Genomic DNA, 21,692 nt, shown 5'->3' on the forward strand with positions numbered 1-21,692 from the left:
CAACACCAGGGCCTTGACTGTCATGGGAAACGTGCACTGCCATTTGCCTTTCTTCTTGTCTCACCTCTTCACCCTGAGGTTGTCGTTCTAGGCCCCTCACCCCTTCCTCTTCTGTTTCTCCTGCCTTTCTGGGCCTGCCCACAATAGGCCTCCACTGGGAGATTCTGGTTTTGATGACCGCAGGCTGCCGTGGGGTCAGAGGCCACCTGCCTGTGGCACCGAGGCCTCGCCTACAGTGTGCAGAGTCTTTTTAGCTGGTTTTCACTGTGACGGGCACACGTGCTCACAGCATTCAGAAAGCTCCATTGGGAAACTGACCAGACCAGGACACCTACAGGATCCTTGACCCAAATGCCCAGTTTTTTTCACTTTGTTTTATCTTTGAAGACCTTGGTTGTTGCTTCATTCCAGTGTCTGAGACAGTTTCCTATCAGTGGAGGCAGGCAGCGGTGAGGAAGGAGGAAATAGTACCTGACCGTGACCACATTCCAAGGAAAGATGCCTTTTATTGCTTTTTCACCATGAGTAAGATAATAGCTCAGAGACACTTTGATCTAAAAGGAAGTATTTCTTTAAATACAGGGTCTTTTATAAAATGTTTCTGACAGCTGGTAACACTGTCTGTCTCCAGGGAGAACCGGGTAGTAGGGTCCTTAGTTGGTGGGAAACTTCTCTGTGTAAACCTTTCTATGGCCGAGCATGGTGGCTCGGTGGCTCTATGGCTGGGCACGGTGGATTATGCCTGTAATCCCAGCACTTCGGGAGGCCGAGATGGGTGGATCACCTGAGGTCAGAAGTTGGAGACCAGCCTGGCCAACATGGTGAAACCCCATCTCTACTAAAAATACAAAAATTTGCTGGGCACGGTGGTGCAAGCCTGTGATCCCAGCTGCTTGGGAGGCTGACACAGGAGAATCACTTGAGCCTGGAAGGCAGAGGTTGCAGTGAGCCGAGATCACGCCACTGCACTCCAGCCTGGGCGACAGAGCAAGACTCTGGCTCAAAAAATAAGTAAATAATACATCTTTCTATGCATATTTAATTTTGAACTATGTGAAGGTAATACCAGTTCAAAAATTGAACAAATAACGTTTCAGGATTTTGGAGGGAAGAGGGGCTGGAGTGTGTTCTCTGTCCTGACCATTCTTCTTTTCCTTCAGATTCTGGAAAGCCACCACTTCCATAAAACAAGCAAACTCGTTTGTGCTAAGCAGCAGTTGTCATGAATAGCAGCTATGCTGGTCTCTAGGATGAATGACCCTTTGGTATTCTAAGTGTGATTCCTAATCCACCTTAATCCAAAATACCCTAACCTGCTGGTTCTCAACCAGCAATTCTGCCTCCACCCCCCAGGAAGATTTGGCAATATCTGGACATATTTTTAGTTGTTACAAAGTGAGGGCTGGCGCTACTGGCTTCTAGGAGATAGAGGTCAAGGATGCTGCGTCTTATGATGCAGAGGATGGACCCCCAAAACAAAGAATTATCTAAACGTTGTTAGTGCCAAGGCTGAGAAGCCTTGTTCAAATCAAACTACCCTTTTTAAGAGGAGGGCGGATGTGAGTCCAGCTCTTCCAGATACTGGTTGATAACTGTAGGCATTTTTCCTAGTTGTTGTGAACCTTAATTTTTCTCATTGATAAAATGTAATTAATTAATATCTACCCAAGCTGGCTTATAGTGCTGTGAGGATCAAACAGTTTAACAGACTTGAGCAAATACTGGGAAAAGTAGCATACTAATGAGTGAAGTCACTGTTTTGATGAGCAAGAATGCAGTCCCTGAGCCTCTGATTTCCAGATTAGTTCTATGGGGACGGAGCACTGGATTCCCGGGGAGAAGGGTTACTTAGTCTCCTGGGGGTAGCTGCAGTCAAGCCTGGGCATGGGAGGTGAGCTGACAGTACTGGGGCATGATGCTGTATGCGTCCCAACAGCAACAGGTGTTTAAAATCAGAGAGAAAGATGTGCTCTTACTAGTAAACGGGTGCCGCTGTGCTGAAGCCTAGGCAACAGAGCAAGACCCCATCTCAAAAAAAAAAATAGTAAACTGCTGTTGTGTTTTTAAAAATTAAGCAGCAAGGAGGTGAGCTGCATCATTTACAGAGGGAACATTTTTTAAATAATTCCGTTACACTTAGAAGCATGTGTAATCATATCACGTTACCATGCACCCCCCGCCCTGTCAGATCACCCCTCCAAACACTTGTGCTTCTGTCTCCTTCCTCACTAAGTACTAAAGCAGGTGATTGCAAGTCTGCCTTTATGAGTTTTAAGCAGGACATTACAGATAATTAAGCAAAAAGAATTGGCAGCTTCAGATTAAAACAGCTGAGCGAGCCAACCCTCTCATTATTAGCCTGTTGCCCTGAATGGTTCATTCTGAAGTGACCTCTTTCAGCATTCGCTTTGGAGGGGGCCTCCATATGTTAAGTTACCCAGGTTTGTTGTACTTCTGCCTTCTGATTAACTGTAGACTCTCTGTGTTTTGGTCCCTAATACCAATAAACGTCACATTGCTGTCTCTAAAACGCGAACTATAGGAAATCGTATTCTACACCCAAAACTTCCTGCACGGCTTCCTTCACTGGCAAAAAAACCCCACAGTGTTGTTGAGTTTGGTGTGAATGGCAGGCGAGGAGGTTGGGGTGTTCAGTGTTACTGCAGCCAGTGGGGCCGTCTGAACTGTGGCCCATGTTCTCAGGGCACAACGATGCTTTTGTTTTTCAATTAAAAGGCTTAATATAAGCAGGTGTTCACTCGCTTCCCTGCACAGCTCAGCCAACCTGGTTCCGATCTGGCCAGCAGGCCCCCTTTCCCTGAGGCCTGTGGCTCATCCACTTTCACCACTCACTACCTGCCCTCCTTTGCCTGAGCACATAAAAGAGATTTTTTTTAAGGTGGCTCTTAAGAAGTTGCAAAAGGACATGAAAATTTAAAATTCTAAAGTTCTCTGTTCTGAATTTGGGAAAAGATAACAGCAATGTAATTTAGGTTCTAGTCTTACATCTACTCAATAGTCGTAGGGAACATACCTTGTGCTTATTCAGAGTTTTTGCTGTTTTATGGAGTTAGAATCATTGGCTGATGGAAGAATGTTATCAAATATATTGAGTTTATTTTAACCAGAAGCCTACTAATTCAGTGAATTGAAGCCTAATTATTACCAATCAAAAGCAATTTTAAAAGCAATGCTAATAATAGAGTTAACATAAGTGCTTAGTGCATGCCCGCTATCATTCTAAGCACTTTAGAAAATACATTTAATCTTCCTAACAACCTTATGAGGTTATACTATTACGACCATTTTACAGATGAGAAAACAGGTACAGAGAGGTTAATTAAATGCTCCAGGGCATAAAGCAAGTATGTGGCAGAATAAGTCTGGGATTTTAACCCCAACTGCCTTTCTTCAGGATCTGTAAGACCCTACCCACTGCATTATTGTCTGAATGCTGTGGTGTCTGGAGGGCAGTGCTGCTCAAGACATTAAAACAGTGATTCTCAATTATCTGCAATAGTAGCAGGGGTCAGTAAGATAAACTCAGACAGCTTTGGAATGGGAACAAATTAATAGAATTTAACTTTTTTTTTTTGACGGAGTTTTGCTCTTGTTGCCCAGGCTGGAGTGCAGTGGTGTGATCTCAGCTCACTGCAACCTCCGCTGCCCGGGTTCAAGCCACTCTCCTGCCTCAGCCTCCTGAGTAGCTGGGATTACAGGTGCCCACCACCACGCCCAGCTAATTTTTTTTATTTTTAGTAGAGACAGAGTTTCGCCATGTTGTCCAGCCTGGTCTCGAACTCCTGACCTCAGGTGATCCACCTGCCTTGGCCTCCCAAACTGCTAAGATTACAGGCGTGAGCCACGCCCCAACTAGAATTTAACAATTTTAAAATGTTTTCCCTGATTCATTGGTTCCAAAGCCATTTTTCTCATCAAAGTGTATCTCACTTCTGAACACAGAATCTGAACTGTAGCCTCAAGAATAACTTTTTCTAGAAAGTATGTAGTGATTTTAAAGTGAAAAACAAAAAAATCCCTTGGGCACTGTGCATAACACTAGAAATGGGAAGATGACTAAAGTGATCATTTCAAAAATTATCCCTGAGTGCAGAACTCAAAATTGACAGTAAAGGATGAGATCCACTTGACAGTGGTGACATATCTTGGATTGTCAAGTTAGGAGAAGAACACATTTTAAAACCTAACTGGCAGTTCTGTAGACTGTCACAGAAAGAGTCACAACTCAATAATAATCTTCTCAATCACTTAAAAACATCTGGTAAAGAAAGCATTAGCTAGGAGGATGACTATTTTGAAAGTCATTTTCCTCTATGGGAATCCAGTTCTCCCAAATGGTACACTGTATTTTCTGGCAAGTTCTGTTTACTGTCTGGTCCTGTGTCAGCTGCTTTTATTATGCCAGAGAAAGGAATATGTGGCAGCTCAGTCCTCTGCATGAAAGAGGCAACCCTTCAACATATCATTAAGGAAGGAAAAGAAGATGGGCCGTGGGCTCTGTGGGGGCTGTGAAATTAAGATTCTCAGTCCTCTATCTGTTCTGCCCAACTTCTGACATGCACGTACACCCAGACACCCAGAGACAGAAATTGGGTTCAATTACTAGGAGACTTCTAAACTATTCATGAGGTCTTGCTGCAGTTCTTTCCAGCAGAGTTGATGAGCTACTCTTCCTCTTAAATCAGTGTTTTCTGCTCATCCAAGATGCACTGCTGTCTACTTCATTGCAGATCAGGAATCGTTTGGTTATTGAGCACAGGGCTGAAATGTAGACTGTCTGGGTAACATTCTAATTTTCCTGAGCTAAGTTTTCATATTGTGACCTTGCCATTTTTATGGGTGTGCTTAGTGCCTAGAATGTATGACATACATTTGACTTACGTCCATGTACTCATTCATTTCTCCAGTTGACAAGTATTTATTTAGCTTGGCATGGTGCTAGGCCTTAAGGGGTGGAACAGAGGCCAAGACAGACATAGTCCCTGCCCCTAATAATGCTTTCATTGTCATGGTACAGACAGATGAGAAAGAGTATGCACAATCAAATAATTACTAACTTTTAAAGTACTATGAAGAAAATAAAGATAGGCAAAGGTACTGCTGCCTTTTAGATAAGGTATTCAGGGGACCCTCCCTAAGGAGGCAGCACAGGGGCTGGGATCGCGAGTGTGTGAAGGAGGCAGTCAAGATAAGAGTGGACGAAAGAGTGTGCTTGGCAGAGAGAATGGCCTTTGCCAAGCCCTGAGGCAGGAAGGAGCTTGGTGGATTCAAGGAACTGAGGTGGAGGCCAGTGTGATGCAAGGTTCTGAGCAGGGAAGAGTGGCCGAGTAGCGTGACAGCAGCGGTTCCCAATGGGGGCAGATTTGTCCCCCAGGAGACATTAGACAGTGCTGTCAGAACTGAGGGGAGTAGGTGCTACTGGTAGGAGGCCAGGGACACTGCCCCCCCACCCCCCGACAACAAATACTCATCAGCCCCAAGTGTCAATAGTGCTAAGTTGAGAAGCCCTGAGTTAGAGAAATAGGCAGCAGCCTAGACAAAGGTTGTGGACTAGAGGAGAAAGAAGAAAACAAGTTTGAGATTCATTTCAGAGTTGATATTGACTGGACGGGGCCATGGTTGGATGTGGGGGTGAGGGCATGGTAGGAATGATTGATCCCAGGATTCTAATTTGAGCACCTGGGTGGATGCTGTGACCATCTGTTGAGACAGAGATGAATGGTAGGGGGGAAACAAGTCTTCCAATTTGGACATGTGAGTTTGAGAATGTCAGAGAGGCAAGTGGGTGGCTGGACATGGACTTGGGACTCAAGGAAGAGGTCTGGGGCTCAGCTTCAATTTGTCAAATTGCAGATGCATAGGCATTGGTGAAATAGATGGAGAAGAGAGGCCTCAGGAAGGGGGAACATCCATATTTTGATGTTGCCTCCTAAGATCCTTTTCCACAGTTATATTCCTAAAATACACAAAGCTGGCCAAGTCACTGCCTTATTATCTTCCATTGGCCTTCTGGTACCTTCAGAAAATATCCATGCTCCATAGCGTGGCATGTGAGTCCTTCACAGCCATCCCCATTGGGTGGGTCTTGACCATCTCCTGCCATTATCTTGGACACGCACCTAACTGCGGCCGCACTGAATGCTGCACCTTCCTCTTTTCCATCCCCATTCCTTCCCACGCAAGCTGATCACTCTGTGATGTCTTCATTCCAGAAACAGCTCTATCATTGCCTTTGTCCACCCTCCCAGGCAGTGGCTGTCAGTCACCCTCCCCAGCCTCCCTCAGCACCCTGCACTTAACCCTGTTATGACACAGGTGACTTTGTTTTGTAATAATTGTTGGCAGTTATGTCCTGCCAACTGCACTGTGAGTGGCTGGGGAGCAGGAGCCTTGCCCAATTATTTTGACATCCAGAGGGTCCCACGCAGCGTCTGGTACAGCATCCAAAGGATGTATCACTTTTTTCTTCTTAATTCTAAGATTGTTATAGATTTTCCAAAGAGATATGTTCTTGAGCCTACAGTTCTGGAGGTGCAATTAGAGGTGAAATATGGGGCGGGGCTGGGGGGCTGAAGAGGGATAGAATTTGTACTGTGGATGTTCACAGAAAGAACACTTTGAAGGTGCTCAGTTCCATTCCCTTGGCTTTTTCTGTTTCAAAATGGTAGTGATTACCTGAGTTGTGGGTCACTGTACAGGCATTTGAAAGTTGGCTCTTAATGATGTGGCATCCTGAAGTCCCCTCATCTGTAGTCTACAGATGGCTTGTGATCAGCTGTTCCTGGAAGAACTTCAGCAATGAATTTTAAAAGGCAGTCTTTTTCCAACACTGTCACTTAAAGGTTCTATTCTTTCCAGATGTTGGCTCAATTAAAGGCAGCCCTTAGATGACAGTAACTTGTCAGGGGAGGTCAGGATTTGGGATCGTTTGGCAGCCCATTTCTCCAGAACAAACATCATAGTCAATGCCCTTTTCTTTGTAACATGAAAGAAACAAGATCAATGATTGTTCAGGTTTGCTATTTCAAAGAGAGTGAGAGGGAACAATAGCCTAGCAGTTTTAAAATCAACTGTATCCCTCTCAAAATCATAGAGGAGTGTAGACTTTATAGCTGCACTTAGGACCCAGAAACAGGCATTGATGAGAACAGACAGAACATTGGACCTTACTCTCCGTCTTCCTTCCTCACCAGCAGTGGACTGAGAAGGGAGTGTGTGGCCAGGGCCATCAGGCTGGCTGTGCCATTGATGAGCTCATCCTTGTGCAAGACAATGGCTGAGCATAGAAATATTATAGTATGGCTTGAGTATTAAATCTAACACTGTATGAGAAGGTACCAGGAAGATGGTAATTGGCTGTACAAATATCAAATTGCTACTATTGATGCTGGCTCCCCACCTACTCCCAATGGAATTTAAGCCCTATGAGAATGGGGACTTGGCAGTCCAGGTATTACTAGAATTCAATACTTAGTGAAGGCCCCAATAATACTGCCACCTACTCCATATTGGGATACTGTTCAAAGTATGGAATTGGAAATTTCAAACCCATTCCAATTGCAGATTGGGACCCCATTCTCCTTCTGTGGTAGTCCTTATTATTGACTATTGAAGGTGGAAGGTTGTTTCAAAAAGCAGTGGAATTCTGTGGCAAAAGGAAATCTAACCTTCATGGATTAAAGACACCTTTTTAAAAAGCCTGTGCCTAGAAAGTGAATTTTTTTTTTTTTTTTGCTTTCCGTCATATTAAATAAAAACGACAAATTTTCTGTTGTAGCTTTACCATCTCTCAGTGTCTGATTTAGTTTGAGGAAGCTATATTGGGCTTCAAGAACCCTTTTTCCTCATCTGTCTCTGACTACACATTCAAACTGTTCTTCCTGGGACAATAGAGTTTTTCTGGGCAGAAGCAAGTGCCACCCTCTTGAAGGACAGAGAGTACAGTAGAATGGGGTGAGGGTGTATGGTTGAAGACAGTAGGGTAAGGGAAGGTGGGAGTGGGCAGACAACATCTAAAACCCGTTCATGGGTTTTAAAGAAAATCATGAACAAACTAAGCTGCACAATCAGCATAGTCCCTCGCCCCAGGTTATTTCTTTATTTTTAACTTATTTATTAATTATTCTAATCTTGGAGACAAGTCTGTTCTCCCATTCCTGACCCCCAACCCAGTGTTCTTTGGAATATTTGATTTGGATATAACTTTAAGATTACAAATTAGAGGGGTTTTAAAGTTGTAAATACAAAAGAGATTTAAAGCGGTAAAGTTTCATTTGAGAACAAAATCAAAGGATGGAGTCTTCTGAGATTCTGCTTCATAAAAAACAAAACAAGACCCTGTTTTCCAAGGAAGTATTCAATGTAATAAAAACATCAAACGTTTCCATTTCCTTTGGAATTTGGGGTATGCCAACTCAAGCTGCATTGATGTTTATCTCTATGCTTTTTATTCATTTTTTGGAGAAATTTTGTTTTTAGCATATGGGATATGTACACACATACATCTACACACACACACACATATGTATAGCTTATTTTTAAGTGTGCATTTTTTTTGTTTTTTTTTATTATGAGGGTCCTGAATTGCTTCAGATGAGTTAATAGATGGGTGGGAAGAAACTACACTTTATGATAAAGCTCCTGATTTACCTGGTCAAGGGAAGGCTGTCTTACCAGAAGCCAGGTGGCCATGCCGAGCAGATGCAGCATGTCTCAGGCATCCCTTGGCCCTCAGAGTCCCTAGTGGGGACACACAGTGGCTGGTATACAAAGCAGAGTCTGGTCAAATCTGGGGCACCAGGCCGAAGCCCTTTCCCCTCAGGCTTCCATTTCCATGAGAGAGGAATTTAAACCCACAGTCTACTCCTGGAATAGGAAATGTTACAGACATCCATGCCCTTCCTGCTTATTGACCCAAATTCAGCCTTAGCGAGGTCACTTGGGCCGGAAAGCGTTCAGCACCCAGATGGCCTGGAACAGTATCTTTGTTTCCAGCTTTCCAGCCTCAGAATGCCTGTCTCCCCACATGTTCTCCCTCAGTAGATAAATCTGGGCACCTGTTTGTGTTAGGCAGGGATACAGCAGTGAACACAAGGAACTTGGCCCATGACCTCAGGAAACCAAGTTAAGGGGTTCTGTGCATTTTAGCACTTTACTAAATTACCTTTAAAAATGGTTATCCCATCTTAGACGTCCCCCCGCTAATTAGGGGAGCCCTGTTTTTCCGAGTCCTCAAGAGTACTAAGCACTGCTCCTTTAAAAATGTTTTAACAGCTAGATAGGTGAAAATGCCTTAGTTTTCACTTTAATTTGCATTATTATTGTAAGTTAGACTTTTTCAGATGATTTTTATTGATTTATGTGTATTATTATTTATGAATACCCTTTGCTGTCTGATTTGTAAGCACTAATATATTTAGGGCCTTGCATTTTTGTTGCAGATGCTTTTCCATTCTTAAATTAGACTTTTACTTTTCCTTACTTTGTGTTTTTTTTTTTTTTTTTTGACCCAAGCTTTTATATAGTCAAATTTGTTAATAGTTCCCTTAAGGCTTTTATCTTTGCTCTTATTTTGTAATTTTGTGCTAGTAATGCCTTGCTTTAATTTTAATAATTTGTAATGCAAGACTTCCCATGGTATTCTTAATTTTCAAAAATTTCTTAGTGATGTTTTTACATTTTTTCCCTCTAATTGAACTTTAGAATTATAAGGTCACTATCTCTAAAAAAATTTCTATTGTGATTTTTGTTGAAATTATATTAAATTAATGAATTCAGAAAGAAGCATCTTTAAACTTGTATTTTTCCTTCCAAGAATGAAATGTTTATGTATTTATTGTCTTTTATGCTCCTCAGTAAACTTTTATTTTCTTCATAGATTTTATACCTATTTTTAGTTGAATATATGTCTGTGTAACTTATGTGGGGTTTTTTGTTATTAATGTTTTGAGGTTTTTTTTTTCTTTTGCGCATGGGATTTTTTTTTCCATTACATTTTCTGACTGGGGATACGTTAGATCTTGATTTATGTGAGTTTATTTTGTAAACTGACAACCTGTTTTTTTTTTAACTATTCTACTCGGTTCATGACTGATTCTTGGGTATTCTAGGTAGCAATCATATAATGTGTAAATTATCATTTTTCTCCTTCTAACCAATATTTTGTAATTGGCTTGTCTTATTAATTTGATATTCAAAAACAGTATCAAAGAATTCTTGTGATAACAGCACAGCCTTGTCTTACTTGTGTTTTAAAAAACAAATGCCTCTTGTACTGTTTCCAAGAGTGCATTCTTTGTACACACAAGTTATTAATAGATACATAAATAAAAATCCCTTGGTCACGTACATTTGGGAAGTGTCACTCTAGTGCTTCCATTAGTATACTGTTGTCTTTTAGCTTGAAACATTATTTTCTGCATTAAGAAAGTTTTTTTCTGCCTCCAATTTTACTAAAACTTTTTTAAAAATCATAATTGAAGGGAGAGGAAGGGAGGGGAGCAAGGGTTGAAAAAACTATTGAATACTGTACTCAGTAATGGGGTGACAGGATTGATTGCACCCCAAACCTCAGCATCGCACATTATACCTGGTAACAAACCTGCACTTGTACCCCTGAATCTAAAATAAAACTTGAAATAAATTTTTTAATTAATTAACTAAAATCTTTATTGAATATTGGCTTTTTCATATAATTTAAGCTGACCATGGAAAGGCAATTATTGTAAACACAGTTAGCTTTTTGAGATACTCCAAGTACTAGCAAATAATAAAATCATGTTTCTCTTAAAATATTATTTAATTCAGATTTTATATCAGTTTAGATGAATGGGATCATTTTATTTCCTTATAGTTTGGAGAATGTCTTAAAATTTCTTCCTATGGGTCTACTGATCACTTCCCCATACCAGAGTAATGTGTGGAAATTATCTTAAGAGTTAGTGCTTTTTGCAAGTTATTTTGGGGTGGGCAGTTTGTTGAAATCATTGAGAAATTTTGGTTTTGGCAGAGGGGAAAAAGCTTGTGTTTCTTTTGCCTGAAAGTCTGTGCTTTTTCATCTCTGTTTTCCTTTTATTGAGAATTTTAATGTAATTTCATGTTATATTTGGGCCTATGCTTCTTCATTTGCAAAATTTGGGGTGTGGTTGACTGCTAAATGCCATTGAAGTCTCTTGATTTCTTGGTGGTGGTGGTTTTGTTTGTTTTATTCTGTGATCATCTCTTGCAGCAGTCATTTTATGAAGGCCAGGCAGGATGCCTTGGGACGGGGAAAGAGAAGAAGGTAAAGAGTGGGGAGAAGGTTACATCTCCTTTCGAGAAAACCTGAGTTGGTTTCCCTTTGGTGCAAAGGCAATAATATCTTGCATATTTTCCCACCCTCCCTTAAACACCCTGTGGATTAGGAACTCAAATGACTCTATAGGTTTAGGAAGATTAATCCTCTGTGGGAAAAAGTAGAGATTTTCTCCCCCTTTTCTATGTTCTTGGCAAAGTGAATACAACAGAAAATTATCAAAATCTGTCATGAGAGTTTGAATTTAGGAAAATTAACTTGAATGTGTATAAAACATGACACTGTGCTGCCATCCCACCGGCCCTTCAAGCCTAGGGGAGCCCTGATGTAACCAGAGCCTGAGATGGAGACGTCTTGCAGAAAGAGGAGGAGAAATGCCAGGGTGCTGTATTCCTGTTAGGTCCAGCCATGGTCGTCTCCATTCCAGAGAGGTCATGACAAGACCATTTTCTACCCAGATGGCCAAGTGTGTACTCTTCCTTGTTATAAACTCATCACCCATTCATTTATTCAACAAATTGTCCTCTAGGACCACTTTCTGGGACCACACAGATGCAAGCCAGTCTCCTTCATTTCAACCCAGTGCCAATTAGCATCAACTCTTGGGGCTAGTGGGATAAAGAGTGAAAATGTTCGGGTGCCTCAAGTAAACAGGACCTAAAAGTATTGAAAGTATTTCACGGCCCGGCACAGTGGCACATGCCTGTAATCCCAGCACGTTGGGAGGCCAAGGCGGGCAGATCACCTGAGGTCAGGAGTTTGAGACTAGCCTGACCAACATGGTGAAACCCCGTCTCTACTAAAAATACAAAAATTAGCCGGGCATGGTGGCGCATGCCTGTAATCCCAGCTACTTGGGAGGCTGAGGCAGGAGAATCGCTTGAACCCAGGAGGCGGAGGTTGTAGTGAACTGAGATCGCGCCATTGCACTCCAGCCTGGGCAACAGGAATGAAACTCCATCTCAAAAAAAAAAAAAAGAAAATATTTCACACTTGCTATATGTATTAGTTTCTTATTGCTGCAGTCGCAAATTACTGCAAACTTAGGGACTTAAAAACATTTATTATGTTATAGTTCTGTAGAACAGACATTTAGTATTCTTCTGGCTGGGCTAAAATCAAGGTGTCAGTGTGGCTGTGTTCCTTATGGAGGCTCTAGGAGAGAAGCCTTTTCCACAGGGGCCACTTACATTTCTTGGCTCATGGCCGCTTCCTTCACCTTTAAAGCCAACAATGGCAGATTGAGTCCCTCTTACATTATGTCTCACTCACCCGCTCCTTTGCCTCTTCTTTTTTTAACTCTTAACAACCCATATTATTACATTAGGCCCACCTGGACAGTCTAGGACAATCTCCCTAACTCAAGATCAGCTGTTCATCAACCTTGATCGTATTTGCAACCTTGTAAAGTAACATTATATTTTGCCTTCTAAGGTTACATATTTGCTGGCTCTAGAGGTTAGGATGTGGACATCTTTGGGAGACATTGTTCTGTCTGCCACCATATAATTTCACAATGTCCTCCTCTGTGCATCTGCAGCTCTTTGTTATGCCTTTGTCATTACTGTCAGTCTGTCTGGTACTCTCAGTAGATACCAACTGTGATCCTGAGGTGTAGACATCACTGTCTCAGGTCTGTATTTCCTTCTCCTCTTCTCTTTCCCTTTTCTACTTCACTCCTTCCATAAAATCGATGTGCTCAATAAATGTACCTTCAATACCTAAGTCTCCCTGTAATCAACTTACATAAATAAGAAATCACTTTCTGGGACATAAACATGAACCTGGCTTCAAATGCAACACGTTGTGACTGAAAAGCAAATGTGGCTCAGGTTACTACTGTTAACATGAAGCAATTCATGTTTGAACAGAATTTTCAAAATCAAATTTTGAACTCACTGCTGGAGACGATGTGGCCCCCTTCATTTCCTGGATTATTATGCATCTCCCACAGAACCATTTGCTATATTATTTCTTTGGTGTTTACAGAAGCAGATCATGTTTATGAAGCATGTCCAGAAGAAGGAAATGATATATGGAAAATCTCTACGTGGGGTATAGAGTCAAGTGATCCCTAGGTTACAGTTGAGAGCTATAAATAGGCCAGTGACTTCATGTGTACCATGGGACTGGTATTTTCCATCTTTCGTCCCACAGTTTGGATAAACTTAGATGGATTTTTTAATAGTTCTTTGAAAATGGAACATTAGCTATCCACAGAGATTTAACTTGGGACAAAAAAAAGGAATAAAAGTCATCATTTCTGATGACAGGATTAGACAGACCTTTTTTCTTGAAAGTAATTGAATATTCTGTGTGTTTTTTGCAGTTTCTGTTGAATTGAGAATAGTGACCATCATTTGAGGTGGAAATAGCAGAAATGATTAATTTAGAAAGAAGAAGGATTGTAGGGTGGGTGGAAGTGGCATTTTCTGCATTGTATTCTTAGAAACTTAGACTGTTAGAGTTGGAAGTGCTCTGATAAAACCGTTCTTTAACATACGAGAAAACAGAGGCCCAAATACCTTAAGTCCCTTGTCCAAGAGTATGCTGAGTGCAGAAAGCCACACTGTGGCTCAGGTCCTGGGCCCTGGCCCTCAGCGTTTCTCAGCCCACTGCACTCATCTCCAGCACTTCTGATGGACTCACTGGGGTGACACCATCAAACCATGTGCCCCAAAGATGCCTTCATGTTGGTTTCCACTTGGGCATTTCTCATGCTTGGATGGCTAATATACTCCCTGCCTGGTTTACTCTTGAGAACCCGGCTTTCATCTGCTGTGGGACACAGTAGCCTTTGCGTGAGTGCCTACGTGCACATGTGTCCATGGAGGCAGGGAGGGTGGACAGGCAGGGAGGGTGGACAGTGGTACACACACTGCACCAGCAGCACTTTTAAAGACAAGGATCATGACAAAAGCAACAGCAAGTGCACTTTCTTTTCCAAATTACCCAAGGTTGTTTTTTAAAAATAGTAATATCACTTCAAGTGTTTTGCACTTGGCTTGGTGAAACAAAATGTGAGTTAAAACTGTGGAGTATTAAAGCATTATTCTTGACACACCTACAATATGAGACACTCCATTGATGTGGATAGCATATATGCAGACAACAAGCATTGATGTTGTACTTCCACCTATAGATAGAAGGGGGATGTACCTTGGTATGGGAGTTTTGCACTTAGACAAAGTCTTAGTTCTCAACCAGAGCTGATTTTGCTCACCACCCCTCCAGAGGGCATTTATTACTGTCTGCAGGTATTTTTGGTTTTTATGTCTGGAGGAAGTGGTGCTACAGGCACCATTTGTAAAGACCGGGGATGCTGCTGAACATCCTACAATGGACAGCTCCACACATCAAAGAAGTCTCGAATCCAAAATGTCAATAGTGCCAAAGTTGAGAAATCCTGGCCTACAGGAATTTATGACTTATCTGATACTGGGCTTTGAAGGCTATATAGACAGTTGATTAATTTAGAAACAGCTTGGCTTGTGGAATAAACATACCTGGTATAGTCTGTGAACTGAAGTGAGCCAAGGTGGTCCCAGTATTGCTTCCACACTTGCTGTCTCAGATCTCTGTTCTCAGTGACCAGAGTTAAAAACCAGCTTCCCTCTGCCCTTCACGTCTGTGGGTCCTATGGTTGAGGATTTTTATGTATTGTTTTTCTTTGGGGTCCTGATAAAGCTTAGATAACCAAACATAGAATTTTTAAAGGTGATTGTGAATACAAAGAACTAAGGAGTGCCTTACCCTGATCCATTCTTTACACAAGCAGCCCCAGTCAGGGAACCCTATGCCAGGGGAGGAATTGGGCCTCAGCATGGACAAGTCTTGGCAAAGACCGCTATGGCAGCAGTGTCTGAAAAAGGAAAAGAGTCCAAGGAGGGAGGAAATGACTAGGAGGCTGCTAGAGCCTTCCCTCAGCGCCATGTTCTACTCACAGACCAATGTAGTAAAAATGATTTGTATTTCCTTGTTCCTTTTTAAATTTTTGAAAAAAAATTTCCATATTTGGGGGTTTTCCCCATTGCCAGGTGGTTACATTCCAAAGAAATTATATCATGGGATACAGACACAAGTATTTCCAATCATGCTTATTGTGTAGGGCTGATGGCAAGGTGATTCCCCTCCATGGCCACACATCATAACCAGGCAAGCCCGTTAAGTATCAGCAACTGGAAGTCCAGCATCAGGACCACCCATCCCTCTGTCAGGCAGCCCCGGTTGGTGGTGGTAAATGGAGGAGACTGAGGCCTCTTTCACTCACTTAAATTCGGAGAGTGAGCCACTCTACTCCTGTTGGGAAAACCTATTTCCTTACCCAACGAGACTGTAGAAAATTCCCCTCAGCCATATACCATGCCAGGTTTCTTTTACAAGCCAACCTGTTTCCAAGCAACCCTTCTTGTAACCTTCTGGAGCCAAGTATCTGATATTCGTACTGGGAGAAAGATGAACGGATTCTGCACAGACACGGGCCCTGCCAACATGGGCCTGGGAAGAGGGGAAGCTGGATGTGTGGCTCAGGAGACAGGCAGAGGTTGTTAGAGGAAGCACAGAATACTGGAGGTGAAGATAAAGTCAGTAGTTGGCCAGGCCTTTTGTGCAACGGACTCAAGAAACATGTAAGAGAACAAAACATTTTTAGACTGATAACTGATTACTTGTGTACATCTTGAAAGTTGGCTGCTGCAGGGCCTAAACAAGAGAGAGGCCTTACAGTAGGGGTTATGTGTCCATAGGCTCATGGAAGCTTGGCATTGAGATGATCTTCATTCATTCAATATCATCTACTCAGTCATTCAGCCAACACTGAGTTAAGCTCTGAGCAAGGCATTGTAGTTAGATGGCAGATAGGTTAGCGTTGTTGGAAAGAGTGTGGGGTCAGAGGTCTGGGCTGCAGAAACCCACCACAGTTTCCTCTAATCATGCCTGGGAAGGGGGAACCAAGGGGGAAGGAAGCAGCCCTCTATTGAGCAATCAACTATGCATCGGGCACTTCCACTTGTGTTGTAGCAGCAGGAGCCAATAATCGTGCATTTGGGACTGGGCCACTAGAAGACTGGCTTGTTGGGATCAAGTCAAGGGGTTCTTGGAAACCTGCTGAGAACAGGCCCATCACCTGACAGCCCAGAAAGATGTCCGAGTCTGGTGGCCAGATCCAATGGGGGAGATCCAGTGGGGGAGATCCAATGGGGGAGATCTAATGGGGGAGAGCCAAAGGTGTTTGTTGGTAGCTCTGACACCAACTTTTATGACCTGGGCAACAACCAAAACAATTTAATAACGCTCTCTCAGAGTTCAAGAGAAAAGGACTAAACAGAAATAAGCAGCAGCCCAGCCTCTACCCAGCTGGTACTCCTGGAAATTGCACATGGGTGAAGCAAGGCTGCTTCCTCCTGCTCCACTTGTGAGAAAAATGACTGCCTGTTCTCCTTTCTCAGTATCGGTCTCTAAGAGTTGTAATCCAAAGAAGGCAAAATACAATTACTTTCTGTTGCATTTTTAGAGCAGCAACTGTAAGTGGGAGGGAAAAAAAAACAGACATCTAGAAAATGGTGGAATGAAATATGTTAAATCATACAAAACAAGTGGCTTCCAGTGACCACCTATACTGAAAAATAAATGAAATCAGAAAGTCGTATATCGTGTAGAATTTTAGAGGAGGAAGAAATTTTGGCAATTCTCTAAGCCAGCTGCCTTCATTTTCTAGAGGAGGAAAGTGAGCCCCCGTGCTATAATGAAGCTGTCTCAGAGTCTCACAGCCCCCTGGTGGCAGAAGGAGCCTGAAACTGATTGTGCTGCGTGTTGGTGATCCCAAATGTCTGTCCATGTTTGTAAATTAATATGGTGGGGCTTATGAAATCAGGACCACAGTCATTGTCTGTGAATACTTCTCTTTTTCTACCTTTGGTCAAAAAGTTGGTTGGTAGAAGAAGAGCTAGAAGCCTAGAGCCAGAGCCGTGGAGCCGTGGGGGTTCTCTTTCATCCTATCTGCAGCTTGGGTAGCCAGCTGGGTTTTGGAGGAGAGTGCATCTCTTCCGAAGACCTTAGTTGCTTTCCTTGCGGAAGGGCTGATCCTGGCCTCCGGGAACAGGAGAAACATAGTAATTTTAAAGGTTATGAGGAAAGGAGGATAGGGATCCCGAAGGCCAGGGAGGAAAAGCCAGTGAGTTTGGAGCGTGGGAGCTGCAGGCAGGTGGGAGAAGCTGAAGGCCTAACGTGGCTGTTTTATTTGTTTAAATGTACAGGGCTCAGAAATAGAGGATTTTGGAAACTGTATTCCACTGTTCTAAAAGAGAAAGTGTGTAGGGGGGAAAATAGCATCTTGACTACAATGTAATCCTAGATCTTGAAACGTGAGGTTACATGGACAAAAAATGCTTAATCCCAACTTGAAAGTATGCATAATATTCAAAATTATCCCCCACCTTCAGTGCTTTACCCAGGTTATGGAGATTCTTGAAAAACATGTAAATGAACTTTGTGTATGTTAGTCTATGTACACATTTAGGAAGAGTTCCATTTAATAGTCTTTTTGTAAAACATGATCTAGGATTTATCTTTCATATGTACAATCCATCTGAATTTAAGTTTCCTCATCTGTGGGGGTAATATACGGGTTATGGTGAGAAATAAATGTTGCAAATAACTTAATCTTACACAAAATAAGCACTTAACACAATAAAATATATGTGTATTAAAATATCTCAATGGAAGTCATTGCATTAGAGTCTTCAAATACTCAAAACCAGTCTTTTTCTACCCAGGAAACACCTACATTCTAAATTTTAAAGCCCCTTTAGGTAAATACTGATATTAATGTTTCAGATTGTTTTGTTTAAAATTCTCTTGGCATTGTTCTTCTGTGGTTTTCCAGAAATATGGCCAGAACTACAAAGCACATGGTACTGTAAACAATTGCTATGCCAGTCATTTAAAATAACTCAATTATTAAAGGAGGGATGTCTTCACCCCCACTCTTTCAGAAAAGACAGCTTGGCCTCTAAATTCTTATGAATTTAGAGAGAAGCCATTTTCCTCATCCCTTCTTGATGTCATTCCTTAGTCCTTACATCTGCTGGATCTATTCTATAAGGAGTGTTTAGGGCTGGCATATGGAAAAATGATTTGAGATTGGTAAACAGCAAGTCACAGCAAGTGATGCCTCTCACTGTCAGTCTATAAAATCACTGCATCGTCAATTTGAAAGTGTTTTTGTTCTATGTATGATTCCATCTCATTTAGCAACAGTTACCCTGCCCCTTTCTTCCTTCTAAACCTTGGATCCCTGAGCTTTGCTTTTCTATTTCGTAAATGTTATTTATTCCTCTAACATAGATAATGACATCTGTGATATAATACATGTATGTATAATTCCCTATCATCAACCCTTACAGCTTACTATGAAAATTAAGAGGAGGAAGAATTAAACTGGTAGAGATTTGAAAGGAAGAGAAAAACTATTTTGATTTCTTCTAGGCCTGTTTCACTACCATTTATTATAGTCCTCATTATGTCTTTTATATATCAAGAAAAAAACTGCAGGACCAAAATTGAGGCACAAGTGGGAAAAAACATCCAGTGATCCCTACCCCAATAAGAAGCTTCATTTTTATTTTTTTCTTTTTGTTTGGGTAAATGGATAGCAATTAAGTCCTCCTGTCTTATGAAGTCAGAGATTTATCTCTTGAATTAATTAACTGCAGAATAGTGACGAGTGGCCCAGTGAACACTATCAGAGCACTGAGAGATGCTGGTTTATTTCCCCTCCTTAGCTAAATACATTCTTCTTTTTAAAACTGAAGAGGTCAGTTGGTGGGATGAAAAAGAAAGGTTTGCAGTCTCTTGGGATAGGCGGTAAAAGATAACAACCAGATCTTGTATGCCACTGATATTTCCAGAGTATATTAAGTTTCCATGCTGGTTTCCACCTTTTTAAGGGAGTTATAATCATCCCCTCTCATTCCCTAAATCAGCAACAACAGCAGTGGTTTTGTGTGTGTGTGTGTGTGTGTGTGTGTGTGTGTGTGTGTGTGTGTGTGTGTAGGTGGGGATAACATTAGGCCAGAAGGGATGGATGAGAGGGTGGAGGTTGCTGAGGGTTTCTTTGAGGGGAGGTTGGTTGTCCTAATCTTGTTTTACTTAAAGCTGGTAAACAGCCTAGATTCTAATTCCTATTCTAAAGATTCCCAATGTTATAGTGAAACCTTTCCACTTTGGCCCCATATAGGACACCTTTTCAATTAGTGCCCATGTGTCTGTGCACCTGACATGGCAGAGGGCTGTGATATGCCCCTGGAGAACTCTGTAGAGCAGAGGTTTGACTTTGGCCCTGACCCATCTCCACACCTATGGGCAAAGAGTTAACCATGGATTTGCCAGTCAAAGGAGAATGCAAATTAAAAGAGTAGAAGCTGGCTTGGTATTGCTTGGAAACAGGCCCATGTAGCCAATAAACAAGCAGTTGGAGTAGCCACATATTTTAGCTGGGCCTGTGCTAAACTGAAACACAAAACTACAAAGCTGCTATTTCTGTAATTCTATGTGGGGTTATGACATCAGGTATGACAGTTATGAGCATGGACTCAGGGTTAACAGATCTAGGTTCAAGGGCCAGCTTTGCCACCTCCTCACTGTGTAGCCTTGGATAAGCTGATTTGTCTTTCTGGGCCAGTTTCATCTTATGTAAATCAAGAGTAAGTAATTTTGTACAAGGCTTGGACTACAGTAAGTACTCAGGAAAGGCCAGCTAGCTAATAGAATGGTGAAAAGAGCCATGAACATATTCCATTCATTCCCCATCAAAAGAAGAGTGAGTGGAGTTATGGCAAGAAAGGTACTACCGTAATGTGAAAAGATTCCACCTAAAGATACCTGATCATTTCTTACTTCAGGGAAGCCCATCTTACAGGTCCTTTCTGGCCCTACAGTGTAAGACTTTAAAAGACATAGGTAGGCAGGCACAATTGCAGTTTCTCCATATCTTTCTGCCTAGGTGTGTTTCTCAACCCCCACTTCACCCACAAGCTGCTGTTACATGTTCCTCCAAGAGTCCAGCATCCCAGTGAGCCAATTAGGGAACACACTCCTTATTTGTTATTGCAAAAGTATATATTTAATTGTGAATATGGGTGTAAATTCTTCTAAAGGACTATTTTAAATTTTAAATGAAAAAGGCTAGAGAAGTGTAAAATTTTATTATAAAAAGGAATAAACAAGAACCTTATTTGGTAGATGATAAAGAATAGCTATAGTTTCTGCCCTGTGAGAGCATACAATTTTAATAATCAAAACTCTTAAGAGAAGGCATGGAAATTTTATTGTTTTAGAGCTTCCATGGGGACTATTTTACAAATGCAGTTTAACTTTAATTGCTGTAAAATAATTGAACATGACTATTAGTGTATAACCATAAAAAAATGAAAATTATAAAGTTAAGAGCAAATAATACAATTAATACACAAAAAGAGAATCTGTCTCACTAGTGATCAGGAAAATGGAGACTAAAACAACAAGACTGGCAAAAGTTAACAATATTGATGATACTGGTATTGGTAGGAGTATGAGGATAGAATCATTCTTACACAGCACTCTGTTGGTGAGTATGTAAATTGATGAAATCCGTAGAAGACATCTTGGCAGTACCTACCAAAAGTATAAATGTGCATTTTTTTAACTCATCAGTTCTTCTAGGAATCAAAGCTGAAGAAATATTCAAGAAATAAATGTATAGGAGTATATGAACAAGGATATTCATCACCACATTATTTTCTATTAAAGAGAGAGAACAAGAACCCTAGTGTCTATCAATAAGAGAGTAGTTAAAACAATTGTGGTACATACAAGCTATGAAAATCTATGTAACCATTACAAATAATGAGATCTGTATAGATGGAAGCATAGTATTTGGGGGAAAAAAAAGCAAGCTGAAACAAAGTATGAATAGTACAGTCTCATTTTAATTTTATTTTTATTTTTGAGATAGGGTCTCCCTCTGTCAACCCAGGCTGAAGTGCAGCGGTACGATCTCAGCTCACTGCAACCTCCGCCTCCCAGGCTTAAGTAATCCTCCTGCCTCAGCCTCCCCAGGCAAGAGCCACCATACCCAGCTAATTTTTGCATTTTTTGTAAAGACAGGGTTTCACCACATTGCCCAGGCTGGTCTTGAACTCCTGAGCTCAAGCAATCCACCCACCTCGGCCTCCCAAAGTGCTGGGATTAAAGGCATGCGCCACCACGCCCAGCCTCATTTTTATCTGTAATGCGTGTATACAGACATGTATTTTTCAGTGTGTAGAGAAAAAAGCCCCAAACACACACTAAACAGTTGACAGTAGTTAACCCTCAAGAATAAGTGTGAGAAGGGCACATT

General features: G+C 41.6%; 1 protein-coding gene across 14 annotated transcripts in view, besides 1 other annotated feature; it reads left to right on the forward strand.

The window, feature by feature from the left end:
* PIP5K1B (phosphatidylinositol-4-phosphate 5-kinase type 1 beta) overlaps positions 1-21,692 on the forward strand; it is a 303,937-nt gene that overhangs the window by 122,860 nt on the left and 159,385 nt on the right. The gene's annotated exons all lie outside the window — the stretch shown is intronic.
* Positions 19,718-19,897: an enhancer, noted in NCBI's record as "active region_28441". NCBI's record gives its function as "activates an Ori minimal core promoter by ATAC-STARR-seq in GM12878 lymphoblastoid cells {active_cell/tissue: GM12878}" and the evidence as "EXISTENCE:reporter gene assay evidence [ECO:0000049][PMID:35858748]".

Source organism: Homo sapiens, chromosome 9 (genome assembly GCF_000001405.40).
Source record: "Homo sapiens chromosome 9, GRCh38.p14 Primary Assembly".
NCBI lineage: Eukaryota > Metazoa > Chordata > Mammalia > Primates > Hominidae > Homo > Homo sapiens.